Raw genomic sequence first — 23,007 nt, forward strand, 5'->3', positions numbered from 1 at the left:
CTATTGGGATTCTGTCATTTGGCCTGTTTTATATAAAGCTTTTATCCTTGTCAGTTTTGCTGTTCCAACAACATAATGTCTGGGTCACTTATTAGCATGCATTCTATGCAGAAATATTTACTCTTCTAGCAAATATCTTATTAGAATGCTTTGGTATGCAAAGCCAGGCTATGAATATTTCTATATATTGTTTATAGTTGTTGTTCTTTATTGTTTTTTGTTGGTCTTCTTTATGATTATCGGTCATGAGCTATGTAATAGGCTTTGTTTCAGGAAATATGCATTATATCACTAATTTAAGAGTTTAGGTCAAAATACTATATTTTGGGGTGTGCCTTGTGTCATCAGTTCAGAATTTCTACATGTGAAAAAATGTAGTTAATAATGCAAAAAATATAACCTTTGTGTTTGTATGCTATGGAAGGCATGTGGTAATTTTTTTTTCCCTTTGGTAAAGGAAAGACAAGTATTTTCTCATTAAATAAGTTTGGTTTGACTTTGATTAGGGTGCACAGCTAAGAAAACTGATGATTCTAACTTAAAAGGTTACCAATTTAAATATGTTTGATCGTAATATGATTACAAACCTAATGTCTAACATTTTTTAGAGTATGTGGTATCTTTGACCACAAAGCTTGTTTGTCCACTAAAATAAGTTTTCTTACAGCGACTCGTTACTGGAGAAATGTAGGGTTCCACAGACTGATGTCTTCTGTGAGCTTCCAGATGCATAAATTTGTTATGATAAGGTCCTCCAAGTCACTGGGCTATACCCAGCACTTCTTTTGTGGCCTTCTTTTATCTAAATGGAATCATGCATGAAGAGTAGCCTGGGCTTTTTCAACATGGATATAATAAAACAATGTAGAATTCAATCCAGTTTTAATTTTCCCAGCACTGCAGGTTAGATTCCTATGAGGAGCATATTTACTTTTTTAGAAATATTTTGTTTTTTTCTTCCTCCATCATGGTGTGATTGACAAGGGATCAAAGCTAACAGGTTCAATAACCAGAGAGAGTTCCATCTTCTCCATCTGGTCAATTATTAAGAATTTCAGACCCAACAACACCAGTTGAACTGTGCTGCTAGGCAGACATTTTCACTTGTCTCTTTGGAAGAAGTACAATTCTGTCAACATTAGCAAAAATGCACTCAACACTCCTGCAAAGGTTATCATAATGCAAAACGATATCAAAATGACTTTTTCCTGTCCCTGGTATATCTGCATCGCAGATGGCTTAGCATGATTTATGACTAGTCCTTAGAAAAGCCCTGTGGACTTTCTTCATTACTAAATTTGTAACTATTTATTCTTTCCTAAAGCCCTTAAAAGAGAAAAATAAGCATTTTAACCCTCTATTCTGTGTTTAAGAAATATGGTTGCCTCTTATGGAATGTCAGACTATGATTACAGTTTTCTAAGGAATTTTTTTCTGGTGGCTTAAACATCATGTGACTATTCTGAGCACAAAGTAAATTATTATGGAAAATTTGAGCTAAGCCTTCCAATTGTGCGTAAGTTGTTGGAAATAATCTGCACAGGAACCCCTTTGTAGTGCTTTTTCTAAAGTAGAGGCAAAAGAAAATACTATTGTATGTGTGCAATAGCATGGAATTTTAAAAGATAAACATTTTAACAGGAAAAGTTATAAATGGGCTTTTCTGTATTTTCTTTTGCTCTTAACCAACCTAAATCATCCACACAGGTAAAGTAGAACTTTAAAATGTTCAAACTTTTCACATAAGGTGTTTATTATGTTATGTACTTGCTCTTCAATAATTTGGAAAGATAAATGATAATTGAAATAAATTTTAAATAAGAGGTTAATATGTGAAAATATATTTTGGCAGAGTTTGAAGTCTAGAGTTGTAGAACCTAGGAACTTTTCATAACCTCAGTATTGAAGCAGAAGTTTTTTTTTCAGAGTTTTACAAAATATAAGTACTCATTTCTATTGTAAAGAAATATATTTCTGGCTGGGTGCAGTGGCTCATGCCTGTAATCCCAGCACTTTGGGAGGCCGAGGCGGGCGGATCACGAGGTCAGGAGTTTGAGACCAGCCTGGCCAATGTGGTGAAACCCCGTCTCTACCAAAATTACAAAAATTAGCTGGGCATGGTGGCGTGCACCTGTAGTTCCAGCTACTCGGGAGGCTGAGGCAGAAGAATCCCTTGAACCTGGGAGGTGCAGATTGTAGTGAGCTGAGACCGCACCACTTACTCCAGCCTGGGCAACACAGCGAAACTCCAACTCCAAAAACAAAACAAACAAACAAACAAAAAAACCAAATATATTTCTTTGCAAGTAAATCCTCTTCCTGCTAGAGGCTTCTGTATGGAGAACAGCACTTCAGTAAGATTACTTCCAAATATTTCTATTTATTGATATGTTCCATGTCTCCTATCTTCTTAAGCATAATTTTTTTTTTAAATCACTTAAGACTAAAACCCGGGGGGATTAGCAAGCATTTAGAGACATTTAGCATGCTTCATAGTTTATACCAGCAAAGTGAGACAAAATGGATGAAGCAAAGAGGAAGAATAGAAGGAAGGAGAGAAAGTTAAATTTTGAAAAAAGAAAGCAAGAATAGGGGCCAGTTGAAGCACTGGTTAAAACCTGGGGTCTATAATTCTTCTGTAGTGGCCTAGAGTAATGCATTCTTAATTTCTTAATTTCGATGAGATTATAAAACCTCAGAAAAATGAGGCCCTTTCAAGAAGCTTGGATTATCTTCTGCAGAGGATTTTAACATCCAAGAAGAAAGAAATTGACTTGTGCATTACAGATGTTCACTGTGGCATGCCATCAGCGTTGAAATTATATCACATTCTGTGATTAGATCAGTGGTAGTGGGCTTACTGAAGCTCAGAACCCCAAGATTGGAATTCTTTTGCTTAGCTGTGTGTTTGTGTCAAGGACAACAGCAAATTCAACCATGAAAGTTCTTCCTCTAGCACTATTTTAGTCAATGGCAAGCCCATATACATAATCTTGTAATACCCCTGTATTAGTCCATTCTCACGCTGCTATGAGGAAATGCCTGAGACTGGGTAATTTCTAAAGGAAAGAGGCTTAATTGACTCAGGTTAGCATGGCTGGAGAGGCCTCAGGAAACTTGCAGTCATGGCAGAAGGTGAAGGGGAAGCAAGGCAGCTTCTTCATAAGGCAGCAGGAAGAAGTGCCGAGTGAAGTGGGGAAGAGCCCCTTATAAAACCATCAGATAGATCTTGTGAGAACTCACTCACTATCACAACAGCATGGAGGAAACTGCCCCCATGATTCAATTAAGTTCACCTGGTCTCTCCTTTGACCTGGGGACCGTGGGGATTATGGGGATTACAATTCAAGATGAGATTTGGGTGGGGACACAAAGTCTAATCATATCAACCCCTAAAAAGAGGTTTGGTGTTTTTCAGGATTGATGAAAGGTTATTATATTAAAACTCAGAGCCTTCATGCCCTATGAGAAGTTTTTATATAATACACACAGAGAGAAGGTAACACATACAGAGAAGTTGACTAAAACTTTAGTAAATCCACAGGAATTCTTATAATTTTGTTTTTTAAAACCAAGTGAAAATATTTATCCCACTGATGTTTTATCTCATGTCTTTCTTAGTATGATTCTCCTCTTTATTTTTGATTGAAGAGTGAAAACAATTTGTCCTGGAATTGGAACTCTACAACCTTGAGATACATACCTATTGAAGGGTTTTCACATTCAACCAGACAACACTTTACTCTTTTGCTTTGTCCCAAGTAGAAAGTAACAATGAATTTTGGAATTCACAAAGGGAAATGGAAAAGCAAGCATGCATGGGACATAATTTAAGCTTACATCTAGTAAAAAGGGCCTATCCTTTGAGCTCCCAAATGGTATGAGAGTCCAATCTAATCAAGCTGAATCAGGCTGGCCACATAATCTATCTGAAGTCTTGATTTCTAAACTACAGAAAATGGCAACTACTTCATTAAAATACTGTAAGGAATATTGAGTGAATACATTTAAACACTGAATTCCTTAAAAGGAAAAAGTAAATCCGTTCTTGCTCTAGGTCTTTTGTTCTCATCTAGGGGCAAATTTGTACTCCCAGGGGACATTTGGTACTATCTGGAGCTATCTTTGGTTGTCACAATTTTGAAGGGAGGTTGTTATTGGCATCTATTGGATAGAGGATAACCATTGTAGGGCTAACCAGCCTACAATGCATAAGATAATCTCCCACAATAAAGAATATTTGGCCCAAAATGTCAGTAGCAACAAGGTTGAGAGATCCTATTCTAGGTTTAAGCTTTATCATTATTATTATTATTATTATTTTTGGATTATGAAGTTAACTGATTTTTTTTATTGTTTTTTGCTTTTAATTTTTTTGTTTTTCTTTAACAAATTTAAGTCTCCTGAAGATTCTTTAGAGTAGAAATGCAATTTTCTGGAACTTGTCTGATGAAAATGGATGTGGACACTTTACCACATCATGATGTCTGCCCAAGCAAATGCATTATAATCATAAGTGATCCAGTATTTCTTCTCTGCCTAGTTGAGTGTAGATTTAGTTCTGCACATGCCCCAAATGTCTGGGTGGCAGTTTAAATGAGCTGCTTGCCTTCCTTCCCAAACCAAATTCAGAACCTTTTAACTGACAACCACATCTTAAAATGTGCTTCTAATGGTAGCTGATGGCTTCAAAACAGCCTGCAGGTAAGGTTTCTGAATGATCTTCTCAGCAAGCCAAGTCTTTCTGTTTCAGTTCTTTGAGAATGCCACAGCACCTCCAAGAGAGCCCATTCACTATTTGTCAGTGGATCGTGTGCTTCCCAGGAGGTTATCCATTCCATGATAAATTCTTTCCAACTTGCAGTGCTGGGTAGAGAACATGTCCTCCCCTTGTAGTTCAGATGTTTTTGTGGACTTCCGTCTGCTTCATTGTGGTGTTAGTGGCACCTGGTCTCTTCCCTCAGCACAGTCAGTGCTTCTAGATACTTATCAGAGAGTGAGAAGCCATGGTAATATTGTACATGGGTGTACAGACACAATGAAATGCTGAAACAGCACAGCCAAGAGCACAAGGGACTGTTTCTTCAATTACTGCTCTGATACAAATGCACTTGTATATGAAGTACATTTATATATGCATATTTATCTCTGTGTACATTAGGCAGCCAGACATATTTACAGTTTATGCACATGTATTTTTTAAATCACCTGTGTCAATTGCAATGTGTATCTTTTAAATGACACATTCCATGCCTTCATGGTTCCATGGATGCCACGTCATTGGACATCATGTAGCCCTTTGGGGGTTTCTCCCATTTCTAAGTTTGTATACTAATTTCCAGAAAAACATTGGTCAAACTTATAGTCCTTATGTTTAGGCTAGATTTACCACAGTGGAACCAGTGGAATCTGGGTGGTGCCAGGATGGACCTTAAGGTTGACTCTCTGGGTGATGAGACATCATCTAGAGACGATGGGAGAGAAGTAAAATACGTGAGCCTGAAACTGAACACTCTGGGGAGTTGGGTGGGGGAGTCTGATGACATATAACAAATTATAATTTGGGTTCTTGGAGCTGATTCTTCTTGGTTCTGATGACATCTAAATGCAAGCATGTATTGTAATACATTACAAAATGACTTTTATTATTTAGGTTATATCTGTGATTACAAAAAATATTTGAGAGGGATAGAACTAGTATATAGAGATATTATATATCTACACGTGAGAATGTGATCTGTGCCACACATTGTTTCATTCATATGTTCAGGAAGACAGTTTCAAAGATAGGTCCCATATTAATGGAAGGAAGTTACAGACCAAAGGCTTTGTCCCACTGACTGGGTATAAGCCACACCTGGCCAGATCTTACACTTGTTTTGCTAAGGCCCTACCTTTCTAATTCCTTTCAGATAAGCTAAACAGAGAAATGTGGGCCAGATGAGACAGGACAAGTCGCAGAGCTATGGAGATGGCATAGTCCTTTGGTTGATGCTTGAGTCCTCCTCTAACCCCCAAAGAAAGCATTTATTTTTTCCTGGGAAAGAAGGAATGAGAAGGGAGTTAGGTGGAGGATTGTTTTATTTAGTAAAATAGCTAGGTTTTTTTTGCATGCAAATGAACATCCCACAGGACAAAGAAAATTGGAGTTTTTTTTTTTTTTTAATGTTGAGTTGTCCCCAGGTTTATAAATCATCTGCTTTCTCTAAATGGCTCTTGCCTTTAAAGTATGAAAACACCATGAATAGCCTAGATAGATACCATAAATAAACAGTGCATTGTGTCAGAGTTTAGAGTTCATCATTTGTTAAGTGGTCCTTCTATGGGGGAAAAAAAGTCCTCTCTTCTGCTTAGCTGCACCTCTTCATGTGGGGCAGGAAAGCTCTCAGAGCTCAAATCCCTACCTTAGGAGAAAAGAAAAGTGTCAGAGCTGAGGCATGAATCATTGTTGGGTGATTCCACACTGATGATGGCTGTCTCAGAATATGAGGGCAAGAGCACAATTTGAGCAATATAGGGTTGGAAATAATAGAGTGCAACTGACCTGGGTCCCTAAGGTCTTTCCTTTTCCAGGCTAATGTCATGTTTTAACCAAACCTTGCACGTTGAGCTTTCTTTCCTAATGCGCTGAGCTGCACGATGACTTCAGAATAATATTAAGCTTTTGCAAGCCCTTATGCTTAGGTTGAATGTGGGCTAGGTTCACCGCAGTGGAACCAGTGGAACCTGGGTGGTGCCAGGATGGACCTTAGGCTAACTCACTGGATGATGCTTCCATCCCTGGGAGGTGAAAAGCAGATGGCTAATGGCCCTTCTTGAGGCCCACTTATTATTATTATTACTATTATTATTATTAGCAGCGATGTTTCATATTTTATGCATGCTTGAGAATTCCTGGCCCATTATTTTGTTTTCTCTGTAGTCACAGGTGGCAGAGAAGGGTAGATCACTCCCACATATTCTTACAGTCCTCAAGGTTCCTTGGGCTGTTGCCACCCTGCAAGAAATTTCACCTTCATTTTAGAAATTAAGAATGTCAATAGACCCATATCATAGAGCCACTCCTAGTAGGTGACATTGCCTTCATGCACTCCCTCCCAGGTGCTGCTCCTCACAGGGGAGGGGATGGTTTAGCAATGACATATTTAGAATCCAGTTGAATAGTTTATGTGCTCTATCATGGTGGCAGAAGTACCAGTGACCAGCCCATAGCCTCCATCTTGTGGTCCCCTGGCCAACCCTAGAATTTTAGAGGCATAGAAGAGAGATCCTAGGTCTAGAGACTACAATCCAAATAGACTAAGTTGGGAAGAATAAAGGTTCCCTTTCTTGGCTTGAAGTTGCCAAGGGGAAGCAGTTCTATTGACAACTTGCAGTAAGGTATGGCTTCACATAACATAAACAATATGCACCCTTTATTGCTTGCTCTGTTCTTCATGCTACTAACCAGACTCTGTTGATGTTATTTTTATTTTAGTTTTTATTTGGGGGGGGTTGCTTTGCATGTCATTCTTCCTCTTGGCTGTTAGTTGCGGGGTTTGAGCCTTTTCCTTTCTGTGATTCAGGTGCCTCACTCTTTCCTTTCCAGGTTCTTCCAGTTCTTTTAACATGTCAAACTCTGGAGATTTGTTCATGAGCGTGCAGTCACTCAATGGGGATTCTTACCAAGGGGCCCAGGTTGGAGCCAACGTGCAATCACAGGTAGGGACCCAGCCAATATGTCACCAGGTGAATGCCTTAGAGTCCAAGAGCCCTCAGTTGTATTGGACTTCCTGCTTCTGTCCAGAGAGAGAGAGAAAAACAGATCAGAACCAAAACCTTACCAACGACCGAACCAAAATCAAGACAACCATTGTCATGGGGAATCTCGTCCACACTTTGTGAATGCATTTGGCTCTGGCTTTTCAGTTGTACTTGGAAGGCAGGAGAAGAACAGTAAGCACAGGGCAAGGTGACCGAGACACATCAGGCAGGTGGAACCAGCATATTCTTTATTCACCAAAGGGAAAAGGAGGAGGTGTTCAGGATGTTACCTCAATTTCCAGGTCTCCCTCTCATGTGTTGGTTTCTCCTGCTCAATATTTACCATATAAAGAGGCAATTAACAAGCAAGCAAATATATTACTATCGGACGTTTTCATTTTAAGCTTTAAAAACACCCAGCCAGGTTGACTAAATACATTTCTTAGTCATCCTTGAGGTCAAGGGACTTGAGTTTCTGGTGATGAGTAGAAGTCCACATTGGGAAGCAAAATCAAGCCATGTGATATCAAATTTTAGTGTTCCATAGTAAGCAGATTTCCTTCATGATACTTGAAGAAGCCATCCTACTACCTCAGCATGAAACATGTTGTGAGAGGGTAAAGTAGTATGCTGTGGGTCAGAATTACTAGGGAAGTTCTGAGCCATGTCAGCCTAGTTTCCCACCCTCCATGTGGAACAAGAAGCATTACAAGCCCGGAACAGACCAACTGGTCAGCGATTCACCCCTTTCTTGAGAAACATTGCCTGGAAACCAGTTTGAAGTGATATGGTCAGGCTTTGGTCAAGTGACTAAACAACTGGCCATCACTTAAGTCCTCAAAAAATACAAGGTCTCAATCAAGTACTGCTCTCTCTGTGAGATGGCTGCCCAAACCTCCTCTAAACAGAACCTTTGTTTTTATAGGATACCCAGCAAAGGAACAGCTGTATAGGATGACCTGTAGGGAAGAAAAATGGGGAGAAAAGAAAATTCCTTCATGCTTTCCCCTCCAGCTCCCTCTATCATCCTAATCCTTACCATCTCATGCAGACTTGTTGAACTAGTTTCAATGTGGAGATCCCAGTTTTCTTTTACCATTTTACGTCTTGCTTACTGAACTCAGAATTCTTTATGGATTGGCATACGGAGGAAGCTAGCCTCCTCCTAATGGACTCTCCCAGGACAACTGTCTCCAAAATGATTGCATTAATATGGCATGCCCAAATGGTGGCCTGCCTGATGATGATCTGCCTCCCTTTTCCTACACCTCTCTGACTAATTTTCTCTCTGTTATTGTTCATCTGTTTAGGTGGATACCCTTCGCCATGTTATCAGCCAGACAGGAGGATACAGTGATGGACTCGCAGCCAGTCAGATGTACAGTCCGCAGGGCATCAGTGTAAGAAAACAAGCCCCCCCACCCCCTGCTTTGTTTTTATTCTTTCACTACCAATTATTTCAAAGCCATAGGGCCCAGAATGCCACTTAGTAGGGCTTATCTTAGCTTTACGGTCACCTAGTTTCTTGTTTCTGTATCGGTCATGCCATCGGCAGCATTCTACCCACAAAAAAAGTGGCGATTGGGCAGGCTTCATGCAGGCAGCTGGCGTCTAGGGCTGTCAGACGCAATCAGTGTTTGCATGGCACCTGCGGCCACATGCGTTCAGCTAGAGGAGCTGCTAAACAGGTGACACCTAGTACAACAGTGGTAGGAAATGTGACCACAAGCTGGGGCCTGGGAACCTGGGAGGTGAAACCAGTAGCCAAAATCCATTGCATCCACGTCTGTGGTCTGAAAAAAAAAATACTTTTTTTCAATCTGTCTATGGACGATTAAAAAGAAAATTAACACAGAAGCTGGGTATGTAGAAGGGATGGGGAGGGATGCAGACCATCTTCTACTTGTTCTTGGGTACGCTGGCGGCTCCTGACTAGCATGAAAATTCATAGCGACAAGCTATGTCGCACAGAGTGAAATCGATCAGACAGACACAAGGAGAACCGAGTGTAGATTTGGGACAGCAATCCAACTTGATTTCTCAGATCAATCGTCTGCTTTCTCAGCAGCGGTGACAGCAAGCTGGGACAAGAGGGCAGCCTGGAAAAGGAGGCTGTTTTTTAGATCAGGGATGATTCCTGGGCTTTTAGAGGTCACAGGAGGCTTGAGTAGAACTATTGGCTCTTAACTATTGAAGAAAGGTTTGGGTGGTGGGTAGTGATCATTTTTTATTGTTTGTTTCTGTTGCTATGATTAAAGTGAATGAGGGATCGAAGGAAGAAGAGTTAGGCATGATTTATTAATGTAATCTATACTAATGGAGATATAATGTCTGCAGTGAAGGAGGTGATGACCTCTTCAACTGCGTTGGTCAAGTCATACATGATTCTGTCTGGTTTGGGAGGATTAAGAGAATATCAGTTATTTCTCAGATCAGATGAGGAATGATTGAACACATTAGGAATTCTTACCTCATAAAAGAGAAAATTTGGGGGTTACATAGTAGTGTAAGGCATGCTAACACTATTAGATTCATCATGAATGATCTAAAGGGGTTAGGATAGGATAGGACTACTAAGTAGTGGATTCAGAGAAACAGGTTTCACTTCAACATCTGATGGACCTTTCTCACAGTAAGAGTCCTCCAAAGAAGGGGTTGGCTGCCCTTAAGTGTTCCCCATCATTGGAAAATTCAAACATGGCTTGGCTAGCTGCTTGGTAAGGATGTTGCAGAAGGAAGTCAGGCAGCAGATTTTGATTGTCTTGATGACTTTTAAGGCCACTTACATTAGGGAGTCTTTATTTTCTACCTTTTTCAGGCAGAATCTCCTCTTGAGTTTACACAATATTTATCAAGTCTTCTCTGGAATGGAAGGAGAGAAGTCAAAGTTAACCCTGTTAAACATATTCTAGACAATCATTTTACTTTCTTGGAAGGATTTTTAGGACAGAGAGATTCTTCCCATCTTGTGCTTGTTCTAACTACATTAACTATTAGTACTGCATTGATGGCTGACTTACTGGGAAGACTGCTTGGAAAAATACAAGAAGCCATTGTGGGAAAGTGTATTCTCCAAAAGAATTCCAAATGAATGAAGTTGTTTGGATTTTGTCTGAGTGCAGGTTTATACACACATGCATTTATGTATTTCCTGAATCTTTTTGGGATATAAGTTTTTCCAGAGAAAGCTTTGCTCTGTGCATAAGCAGAAGAGAAGAACATGAGGAAAGCACAAGAGTGTAGGGACAAGAACCTGGCCATACTCAAAAGGAACTGAAGGAAGTCCACATGACTGGGCAGGAAATGGGGCTGACACTGCTGTTATTTGGCGTCTTTCTTTCCTAATTGGGCAGCATAGAAGAGAGAGAGCAGCAGTCAGACTCTGGGGGGTGGGGGGGGGGGTCAACACTGACCCCTCTGACATCATCTGGTGGGCTGGGAATAATTTCTGAAATAGTGTAACCAAACATGTGCAGACAATTATGTCTGATGACATAAGCCCACCACAAAAACTGGGCCTGAAAATGCCACTTGAAAGAGTCTCTCACTTTGCATTAATTTTTTTTTCCATGAACTGTGGTTATTTTATTTCTGGGTCTTTAATATGCAGGGTAAATGAATCAAAGGCTGATCGTGATATGTTCTTTTGATATCAGTTTTAAATTGTGCCACCTGCAGGAGGCTAAGCTTGTTATAGTGAGATGTATTTTTAGATGGTGGTATTCGATGCTAAGACATGTGTGTATAGAGCAGGACAATGACTGCCAGCAGGAGAGAGAGAGGAGGGGAGACAAGAAGAGACAAGGACAGGAATGAAAGCTTTGAGCCAAGAAATGAAAATAAACAGTTCCTAACCCCAAAGCTGCAGTGGAATTCCCAGCTGGGCTCTGGATTGTGTTTGATTCGGTGGAGGACATTTTCTGGGCAGCGTTTATCTGCTCCCCTGGCTGGGCTTTCACAGCACCCATATCTTATCCAAGCAGCATCTATTTTAAGCCCTGTAAAGTTCAGACCATTTGCCTTTAACTGACCACACAGCAGTAGAATTGCAAGGTGCGGTGGTAGGAGTATTATAAAGGGAGTTGGGAGCTGCTAGTCCTAGTAACTCATGTGCCCGTGGGCAAATATTGAATCTCTCTTCTAGAAAATGGGGACAGTAATTCCCACCCTTTATACTTACTTCAAGGACTGGCTTAGGGCAAATGAGAAAATAAGTCGGAAAGGGATTGGCAAAGCATAAATTATTCCACATGAATGCAGTATGAAATTTTGTAAGTGATAACTTTCTGATTTGACCTTTTTTCTCCTCTGATGTGAGCAGTTTTCTCAGTAGGTAGTTCCTAGTGAGGATAGGTTAGGACACATTTGTCACTTTTTTTTCTCTTCTGATGGAAAGGTGTGCTTTTGAGATGGATATAGTGTTATGCAAGGCCTAAAGACCCCCTTCCTTAGCCATGGTGAGAGTTAAATTATACCTCCTTAAGTACTTTGTGTTCTCATGTGACAATGGGCAATACTTACTAAGCTTAGAGTGGCTCTAAGTAATGGAGGGAGATTACTCCACTTCTCTGTCAATCAGACATACTTAAAGATCACTTAGCTATCACATTCTTTCCTATCCATTCTCACTGCCACCATCCTAGTTCTAGAAATAGTTCATTAACTAGACTATTGCCATAACTTCCTAATCACTGTTGCTGTCTTTAATTCCTCCTCTCTCCCACACACCCTCTGAATTTTGTCATTCGTTGCTCAGAAATCTATTGCCTACCCAAGCAAGCTCAAACCCTGAGTACGACATTCAGGGTCTCTTACATCTGGGCCCAGCCTTCCTGTCCTTCTACCTCATCCTCCTGTCATCAAAATAAACTCTGGATGCCATTCAGTATGGCCAGCTCATCTTTACCTCATTACCCATTTTTCCCCTTACATTTACTCATGTATGCCATCTACACAAATGTCCTTTCATTCCCACATCACCTCTCCATCCCACCCCACTATCCAAATCACACTGAGTCTCAAGCCCAGCTCCTCCTTCGTGTCTTTCTTCTTCTTAGTCCTTCTCCCCCTCTTCTCTCTACTTTATCACAGACACACATTTTCTTTGCACTGTACATACATGCGCAGAAATTACCTCTGTGTCTTTCACTTCTGCCCATGTGTATGGTCCTAAAAATGCATGTTCTAGTTGCTCAAAACATGTTCGTTGAATGAATAAATCAGGGAGGGGAAGAAAAGATGCTACTAAATTAAAAATTCATTTTAATGACCAATAGCCACATCTAGTGTACCAGCTATAAAGTATCTGATGAGAATTACTACTTTAAATGCTTATCCACAATTATACTGTCTTTAAGATCCAAAAATATCCTTAAGTCTTTCTTTTTGGAAAAAGTTTTTCAAACTTTCCGGCTGATGTATATTCTCTGAGAATAAGATTCAAATCAGCAGTAAGTGTGTGAATTTATATGGTGATGATATTGCAGACATAATTATCCTCAGCAGTAGGATCATTCTTATTATGAATTTTGTAAAATTTCTTTCACTCCTCCTATCCTTAAAGAGTCCCTGTGTTTCTATACTAAAAGAATCCCTGTTTAAAAAAAGTATATATACCTGTTTGTAGGATAGCCATGCATGTAGCAACATAGTATTGTTTGTGGGATAGCTGTGCATGTAGCAACATAACATTGTTGTAACTGGATTCTCATTGTTGTAATTGCCCTCCCTACTAGATGTGGTATTGGAACCTCCAAGGACAACCTGGAGGAAGGTGGAAGCAACTTGAAATTGGGAAACTTAGGTCCTTCTTGTGACTTTTCTTTTAAGGAGTCACTTCACCTCTGTGTTGTTGCTTCATCTGTAAAGTTTATTAGATAAGCAAACTGAAAGCTCTCTTTCAGCTCAACAGCTCTAGAATTCTACATTTATGATCTTTGATTCATTGTTAGCTCAAGGGACACCAGACTAAATTGTAGATCATCCCTCCAGAAAACTCTTTCATTAGAGTTAGTAACTTCTATTCTTTCTAGCCAACCCCAGTGTTCAAATTATATCTTGAAACCCAAATGGGAAGGAAGAAGTGCTCTCGTTACACAAACTTTTCCCTTTGAATTCCTTGGATATTTGTGATAGCAGAAAGCATTATTCTTTAGGGTAAACCTTTTTTGTTTGTTTGTTTGTTTTCTTTTTTTTTGAGGCAGAGTCTCGCTCTGTCACCCAGGCTGGAGTGCAGTGGTGTGATCTCAGCTCACTGCAACCTCTGCCTCCTGGGTTCAAGCGATTCTTGTGCCTCAGCCTCCTAAGTAGCCGGGATTACAGGTTTGCACCACCATGCCCAGCTAATTTTTGTGTTTTCAGTAGAGATGGGGTTTCACCATGTTGGCCAGGCTGGTCTCAAACTCCTGACCTCAAGTGATCCTCCTGCCTCAGCCTCACAAAGTACTGGGATTATAGGTGTGAGCCACTGCACCTGGCCACTATATTTAATTGTTTTAAAATGTGGGTTATGGGAATGAATTTACTCCAGCCAGTCTTTGATGTAAATAGATACCCCTGTGGATTTTTCTTATTCAAAAGGTTTGGTGAAAATGGAAATAAGTGTCAGCATTATCTCTACAAAGGTAACATGCCGTTAACATCAATTTATGACACAAAAAAAACTCATTAATCTTGCTTTGTAATCATTATAGTAATAGAAAAATAGAGATGAAGCTTTTATCATTGTAAAACTGTAACATAGGTGTTTTTGTTTTTTCTTTTCTCCCATGTTAGGTAAGGGGGAAAAAGGAACATTTACCAAGTAAATAAATAGTATATAAATCATTAGGACAAAAATAGCCTCCTATTTAAATGAACATATTTCAGACATTTGGATACCACGGGGATACTTAGTAATACTTGGCCACATGCCATAATTTTAATTTTTTCTTAACTATTTCTGAGAGACCTCCTTCCACTTAAAGTATATATTAGTAAGATGTTGCCACATGTGGAATTGTAAGGCTGGGAACTGAGGGTAATAATTAAAATTCATATGCATATCTTTGAAAACTCATGTTAATTATACACAGTTTTAATTCTTCTATTTTACCAGCTGAATTTGAATTTCAAAGGGATGAAAACATACCCAGATGTGCCCCCCAGTTGGTTGTCTTTGGGTACCTTCTGGTGCTATGACCAGGAACTAGTGAACAGCCCCAAAACTGAGGGGTAAAGGTACCAAGGAAAATCGAGGGGTCTGAATGTGGCAGACCAGACTGTATAGTGTTTGAAGGCAGCAGAGATAGAGTAGATAGATGGAAGCTAACAGCCTCACTTTCCTTCATGACAAAACTATTGGGAAACAGAGTAAGTAAGTGCCTTTCCTTCTTATAGGGCCTTTAAACCTAGCACCATAACAAACCTGAGACCAGAAAAGCATTTTATTTCAGCCCACGATGATTGAAGAAGCAAAAAATATCCCAGTAATGTGATTTCATATGCAATCCAATGTTTTTCCCCAGCTCCCAAGTGAAAGCCCTTAAAAGTACAAATGAGGTCAGATCATTCAATGGCTTATTCATGCATTCATTTATTCATTTGCTTATTCATTCATTCACTCATTCATTCAATAAACATAAGCATTTTTTACCTTGAGGAATGAAGCTACATCATGGTACATCCAGGTCAAATTGGAGAAACTCTGATGTCAGTCAGGGTACATTTTCCCTTTTAGTCTCATTCAGCACTTTGTCTGGGATTGAATTTCCTGTTCCTAGAAGACTAGACCAAGGGAACTGACCAACTCTATAGCCTAGGAGGGAATTTGAAATTAAATTATATGACAGAAGGGGGGAATTTAGGACCAACCAGCAACAGTTTGAGAAAAGTACCAACCCCAACCAAATAGATATACCATGGACTTAATAATATAATAAAAAGCATTATTTTGTAGAAACTGCTTCTCTCTTTGTAGAACTAGTTGCAATGAGTTATGATCTTAAACCTAGTGATATGATCACACTAAACAGTATCACATTTAGGCTGTGTGTGTTTGTGTATGCGTGTGTGTGTGTGTGTGTACATGTACATTCCACTTTTGCCTGTGTGACTATGAACAAGTCAGTTTCTCATGATAGGACTCAGTTTTCTGAATTCCAAAGAGGACAGTTGAGCTGGATTTTGTTTAGGGCATCTTCCAATGCCAGTTCCATTTATAAACAATTATTGTTTTTCCATTCCCAAGAAAATGCAAGATTGTGTTTTGGGGAAGATTCTCAACTGTGAGATGACAGCGTATGCTATGTTCCTTTCATTGCAATTGGTGTTTTATAGCATCCTGCCCAGCCTGGCCCGCATTTGGCCCCGTAGCCATGCTGTCCTCAGGCTAGGATCTGGTTAGTTGTTCCAGACTCAAGTTGGTCCCTCCTTCTGCTCTGTGGAGAAAAATCACAACCTCAAAGGGATAGGTTTTTTTTTTTATGGTTGCTCCTGAAAGTGGCATGGTCCCTCTAGATGTCAGCAAATATTAAGGCAATTAAATAAGGCAAATTAATTATGGGAAACATTAGCATTGATTTCTGAAGACAGTCTTCTTCTTGCTGAGTCTAGCCTCACCCCTTCTTGCCTTTTAGGAAGAGTTCCATGTTCTTAGACAAGCTTGTTTTCGGATAAAATATTAGACTTTTTTCTTAGAAAATCCCTTTGTTTTAAAATTGGTAATTTTTAAAAATCCCAATCTCTGGCTACATTTGAGTTTGAGGAAATTCTTTTTCACATCTCTAAATATGTTTCAATTTGATAGTATTAGTAAATAAGTAAATAAAAATGCCTTATTCCACAAATGTTTATTGAGATCCTTCTAATTTCCAGTACCAGGAATACACACATCAATAGGACATGGTTCTTATACTTCATAAAGTCATAGAAAGCAAAAAGAACTGGCAGTTATCTGGTTCAGTTATCTGATTCTCTGAAAGAGAAGAAATATACCAGCCAGTATAGTCAATATTATTTTCAAAAATTTGGTGAATGGCCATTGTAAGGTGCATTTACACACATATAATCATACTCCTATCAACTATAAATATATGAATTGCTTATAAGCATGATTGACATTTGTTATTCTTACATAGATTTTGTGAGTGACTAGCAAAAGCTGTTCTTTGCTTCTAGAACCATGCTGTCCCAATATAACTTTTTGCATTGATGGAAATGTTCTATTTTAGCACTGTCCAATAAGTTAGCCTTTAGCAAAACATAGCTATTGAGCACTTGAAATATGGCTAGCTCGTTATCCTCAGCAAACTAACACAGCAACAGAAAACCAAACACCGCATGTTCTCACTTATAGGTAGGAACTAAACAAAGAAAACACATGGGCACATGGGGGAACAACACACACTGGGGCCTGTTGAGGGGAAGAGGGGAGGGAGAGCATCAGGAAGAATACCTAATAAATGCTGGGCTTAATACCTAGGTGATGGGTGGAGCAAACCACCATGGCACACATTTGCCTATGTAGCAAACCTGCACTTCCTGCACATGTACCCCAGAACTTTAAATAAAAGTTGGAAATTAAAAAAAAAAAAAGTATTGGGCATGAGGTCCAAAAGAGAATTGGTATCAACTAAGTACCGTTAACATACAAGATATGACAATGAAGAATTAATACTGATTAGCTGCTAGATACGAAGATGCTTACATATAAACAAGCACGTTTTTCAAAATAAACATCTTGAAACTAAAAAAAAAGAAATATGGCTAGTTTGAAAAAGAAAATAAATGTTTAATTTTATTTAATTTAAGGTAATTTAAATTTTCAGTAGCCACTTTTGGCCAGTGGCTACCATGTTGGCTAGTGAAGTTCTAGATGCTCTGCCGGTTATTTGGTAACTGTAACTTGGTAAAGTAAGTTAAAAGAATAAATGTGATGGTGTGCAAGAGTAATATAAAACTAGAAAATATAATTTAAAAATTTAGAATAGCTAGGAACTATGAAAAGTAGGAAGAAATAATTTACTAATCAACTACAAAGCATTAGCAGAATAAAATTGGCAGGAGAGTGATAAAATCACATGTAAATTGCAAAATGAAGGTTAAAATGAAGCCACCAAAGTGGGGTGACGGTGTTAGAGGTGTCACCATGCTGTGAAAACAGAGTAGACTTCTTAACACAAAACATAGAAAAGCATGCTTTCTGCTTAAATCAGCCTTTCCAAAAATAAATAGAGCTCTTTATTAAAAATTAACTATATACAAGAAGTGAACTCTGGTTATCATAATAATATGCTTCAAACTATTAAATAATATGGAGGAAGATTTAAAATATAAATATAGAAATACCTACATTTGTTATGGTTTTTTTGAAATAATTTTTCACTGTGTCAGCCACTAATTCATCCAACCTAATAATTCTTCAAGCCCAAGCAGGACATGTCTTTGAACTCATCTTGAACTCTTTCTTTAAGTCTAAACCCTGTAGGGCTTACATAAGATAGAGTCTTTGTTTCAAGTCTCCCAGGTGACCTAAGCCTTTGCTGGCAGCCTCTGCCTCGCCGTTTCTTCCTCCCTGCCCTGCTAGTCTATTCCAAGTGTAGTCTGCAGATCAACAACATTACCTGGGAGCTTGTGAGCCATGCAGAATCTCAGGCCCCGCCCAGACCTATTAAATCAGATGCTACAATTTAACGAGATCCCCTGGCAATTGTTAAGCACATTAAGTTTGAGAAGCTCTGCTCTAGTGTGTAAAGTCTACATGCTCTCTAGGGCTTACTGAAGAGAAGGAATTACATAGCTTTATTTGCATTAAGGATACCTTTTAAAATGTTTTCAACATTTTATTTAAAAAATTTTCAAACATATGGAAAACTGGAAAGAATTTTACAGTGAAATCACTATTCTCACCACCTAGATTCTGTCATTAATATTTAACTCTACTGGCTTCGTCATATTGTCACCCTTTTATCCTTCTGTGCATCCATCAATCCATCTTGATTTCTTTTCATTCATTTCAAAGTAAATTGCAGACAACAGTACATTTTCTCCTAAGTAAATATCCTGGTACATGTATCATTAACTAGAGTTCAATATTTATTTGCAGGATTTTTCTCTTCTGGAACAAAATTGTACACAACTAAATGTGCAAATCATAAGTATCCATTCTCTTGAAGGTTTTTTTTTTGTTTATTTTGTTTTTTGAGATGGAGTCTCGCTCTGTCACCCAGGTTGGAGTGCAGTGGCGCGATCTTGGCTCACTGCAAGCTCCGCCTCCTAGGTTCATGCCATTCTTCTGCCTCAGCCTCCCAAGTAGGTGGGACTACAGGCGCCCGCCACCATGCCCAGCTAATTTTTTGTATTTTTTAGTAGAGACGGGGTTTCAGCGTGTTAGCCAGGATGGTCTCGATCTCCTGACCTCGTGATTCGCCCACCTCAGCCTCCCAAAGTGCTGAGTCTCTTAAGTTTTAACAAATGTAATACACTTGTATATAAATTTCCTACCCTTTGTTTTCTTGTGTCTACCTCATTTGTATAGTTTACAAAACAAAATAAGAAGGAAATGGAAGGACAGGGCACATAGTTGTCCACAGAATAGTCTGTTCTTTTCCCAGCAGCCAGGGGCTCCCTCCCTTGCACCTCCTATCCTCAGTCCCTCATTCTATCTTATAGCCAAGCATTGCTAGAAAGGCCAATTTAAATCAAATGAGATGGTTTAGTTTTATTCTACACTTGTCTCATGTTCTGATATGGTGAGCCTGCTTTTAAAGGCTTGTATTCAACTTATATTCACATTTCAATGAGAAAAGTTTTTGAGATATATAAAAATAGAAACTTTCTAATAGATATCAGAAAGTTGAATTATAGTGTGATTACCTCACTATTACATTTTTCCTCTTTTGCCTTTTGCCGTTTCTCCCCTTTCTTCTTTCCCTTTATCCAGATAGACCCTTGACCTCTAGTCCTTAGGCCAAGTGAAGGGAATTGACAAGAACCTTATAGTGAAAGAATTTATGTTGCCTGGTGATAAGCATTTTGGAGACCGAATGATATGGAAAAGAACTCTTAAGAACTCAATTATGACTGTTCTGTTGTGTATCCTCTCAGGGTGGCATATGGAAGGCTTACGACTAGTTCATTTCTTTATTAAAATTAAATTTGGAAAATATTTAGACAGCTCTTTCCTGGATCTAGGCTACCCTACACCTTTATTGTGTCATATTTGGTTAACCTGCCTAGATAGTGACCCAGTGATCATACATGAGAGCAGGATTTTAGATCAAGTGTTACTTCGCTGAGAAATGTGTGGTACTCATTATAACAGAAGGCAAGACTGTTCTAGAATCTAGGTGTGAAGTATCAGCAGAGGTGGATTTTTAAAGTAAGTTAAAAGAATAAATATGATAGCCTGCAAGGGTAATATAATATAAATAGAACTAGAAAATTAAATAGAAAATATAATTTAAAAAATTAGAATAGCAAGGAACTAAGAAAAAGAAAAGTAGGAAGAAAGAATTTAGTAATCAACTACAAAGCACTGGAAGAATAAAATTGGCAGGAGAGTGATAAAATTGCATGTAAATTGCAAAATGAAGGTTAAAAGCAATTAAGATACACGGGTACTGAAGAGAATAATAAAAACATAAAATAAGCTAGGATGAGTAGTTAAAATAAATAACACCAGCTAAGAAGATACTTACAAAGATTAAAAAACAGATCAAGTAGTAATAAAATAAGGAAGTGGTTTAAGGCAGTAAATTAAAGAACAATTAAAAAACAATAAGGAGAGAAAATTAACAGGCCAAAATGACACTTAATAACTGTATTAATAGCTAACATTTATTGACTTCTTTCTATGTGGTAGACACTTTATGTACATTAACTTCTTTAATTCAAGTGTATTAAAATAATTAGGAATTTATTTTTGGGGTAAGCAAAAAAAAGTTCAGAGAAGGGAAAGCCAGGCATCAGGGCAATAACCCTCCCCTCGCTAAAAAAACAAAAACAAAAAAAAACAAAACCTGAAGGTAAGCAAAATAGATCTGCAGATATCAATTTTCATTCCTTGTCTAATGTGGTGATTTTTGCGGTTGAAAAACACCCAGTACCTGCCCTGGTACTTTTCTTCAGATCACAGGTTCCCGAAGTGGCTAGCGTTATAAAATGAGCATTCTCTTTTTCTCTCGTCATAGATAAGATTGACCTTTGTTAGGGGCAAAGACGTTTTCAATCAGTAGAATCCATAGCCCAGAACCTATGGCAGTGGGCAAACATCTCATAAGCCCACTCATCTTACGTGACCTAGCTCAGGCCTATCTTCTGGAAGTACTTCCTAGTTCCTTCAGACTGTGCCTATGTACTACTTAGTACACTGGAGTTGGAGTGGAATTTCGTTTCTGACACTTATCTTTCATTCCTCTCTAGACCATAGAATTCTGAAGAGAAGGATCATAGTTTTATATCCTGTTCCTCAACTCAGGCCTGGTATACAGTAGGTGCTCAATGAATGCTTTTCAAAGTGAGCCTAGTTGAACCTGTTGTCAGTGGGTTTTGTGTGTATGTTTTTTTAACCAGCAACCGGTCTATTCTGACTGGATTTTCTGCCTGCCTTGAACCCCCACAAACATGTATTTTTGTGTTTCTATTATCCAGAGAATTTCTTCCACAAGAAAATGGCTTTTTGTACTTTTTTTTTTTTTTCTGTTTACCACAGACTGGTACCCATCTTTTACCTCCAACTTATTTATATTGCATACCCTATAATTTTTATGCCAGAAATATTTTATGGGTGTATATATACCCTGGATATGGGTATATATATGTATATGTGTGTGTGTGTGTGTGTGTGTGTGTGTGTGTGTGTGTGTATTCAGAGCTCAGATATCTGTGACTGTTTTTTCTCTTTTCCATACTTTTCTTTGGGGCAGCTGTTATCTCTGTGGCCTTGAGCTTGATCCATAATTCATTCATTCACTCATTCACTCATTTGTTTAGTAGATGTTTTCTTGAGACTTATTATTACTCAGAATAGTGTTGGGCATTAAGGCAAAGAAAATGAAAAGGAGACCTAATGCCTGTTCTTGAGCAGCTCTCTGTCTTGATCTTGTTGTTTAGCCTGTTTCCATTGGCCCTATTTTTCTTTCTTTTTTTTTTTTTTTGAGACAGAGTCTCACTCTGTCACCCAGGCTGGAGTGCAGTAGCACAGTCTTGGCTCACTGCAACCTCCACTTCCTGGGTTCAAGCAATTCTCATGCCTCAGCCTCCCAAGTAGCTGGGATTACAGGCATGCCCCACCACGCCTGGCTAATTTTTGTATTTTTTAGTAGAGACGGAGTTTCACCATGTTGGACAGGCTGGTCTCAAACTCTGGACCTCAGGTGATCCACCCACTTCAGTCTCCCAAAGTGGTGGGATTACAGGCGTGAGCCACTATACCCGGCCAGCCCTATTTTTCATGGAAAGGAAAAAACAACTATTAACACTCTTCACAGGTTATTGTTGTATTTTGAAAAGAGTTATGAAATCCCTTGCTAACTTTCTCTTCTCTGGGGAAAAGAGTCTGAGTTCCCTCAGCCTTTCTTCCTAAGACCTGTGGTTGGCTATAAATTGCATTGGTTGCTCTTCTCTAATGACCTCTGGAGATTGGCAACACCAAACAAAGACATGAGTTAGATATGGACTCTTCTTCAGACACTTTGTTTAAATTTTAAATTTTTTTCTGATTGCAAATTAGTATTTAATGTAGAAAATTTGGAGAATTCAGGAAAACCACAAAGAAGAAAATTTACTGTTAACTTTGTGCTCGTAGCCTTCTAGCACTTTATGTATAAGTGTGTTTTTTATGTGGGTGTAAGAAAGTTACATTTCCTTTTACCTACCTATATTACTAAAAATGTGTTATGAATATTTTCCATATCATTAAACATTCTTCTCAAGCATAACTTTAAATAACTGCATAGGAAACTGTTATAGGGAAAGTCCACAATGTGTTTAATCAATTTATACTATAGAACATTTAAGCTACTTTTGATTTTGGTTTTTTTTTTTTTTTTTTACTATTATTAATAACACGGTGGTAAGCTTTATAGTACAGAACATTTAATGCACATTTTCTGTTATTTCCTTGGATAAATTTCTAAAAATGGAATTGCTAGATCAAAGGGTATGCATAAGTTTACAGTCTTTGTGATGTATTGTAAACTTTTCTTCTAGGAACTTCTATTAATTTATGGTTCTCACTAACAGTTTCTGGTAGTTTCCATTTCCTCACACCCTCAACTGTTTTTC

The 23,007-nt window shown here is 38.6% G+C and overlaps 1 protein-coding gene across 11 annotated transcripts in view; it reads left to right on the plus strand.

Moving 5' to 3' along the window:
- PBX1 (PBX homeobox 1) overlaps positions 1–23,007 on the plus strand; it is a 326,864-nt gene that overhangs the window by 253,300 nt on the left and 50,557 nt on the right. For 7 of the 11 annotated variants that reach the window (XM_011509590.3, XM_017001395.3, NM_002585.4 and 4 more), the window contains 2 exons: positions 7,589–7,701; positions 9,054–9,143. In XM_011509590.3, the coding sequence (XP_011507892.1) occupies positions 7,589–7,701; positions 9,054–9,143 (203 nt within the window). The remainder of the gene's footprint in view (positions 1–7,588; positions 7,702–9,053; positions 9,144–23,007) is intronic. The other 4 variants (XM_011509592.3, NM_001353131.2, XM_047421784.1 and 1 more) reach the window with 1 other exon arrangement.

This window comes from Homo sapiens, chromosome 1 (genome assembly GCF_000001405.40).
Source record: "Homo sapiens chromosome 1, GRCh38.p14 Primary Assembly".
Lineage (NCBI taxonomy): Eukaryota > Metazoa > Chordata > Mammalia > Primates > Hominidae > Homo > Homo sapiens.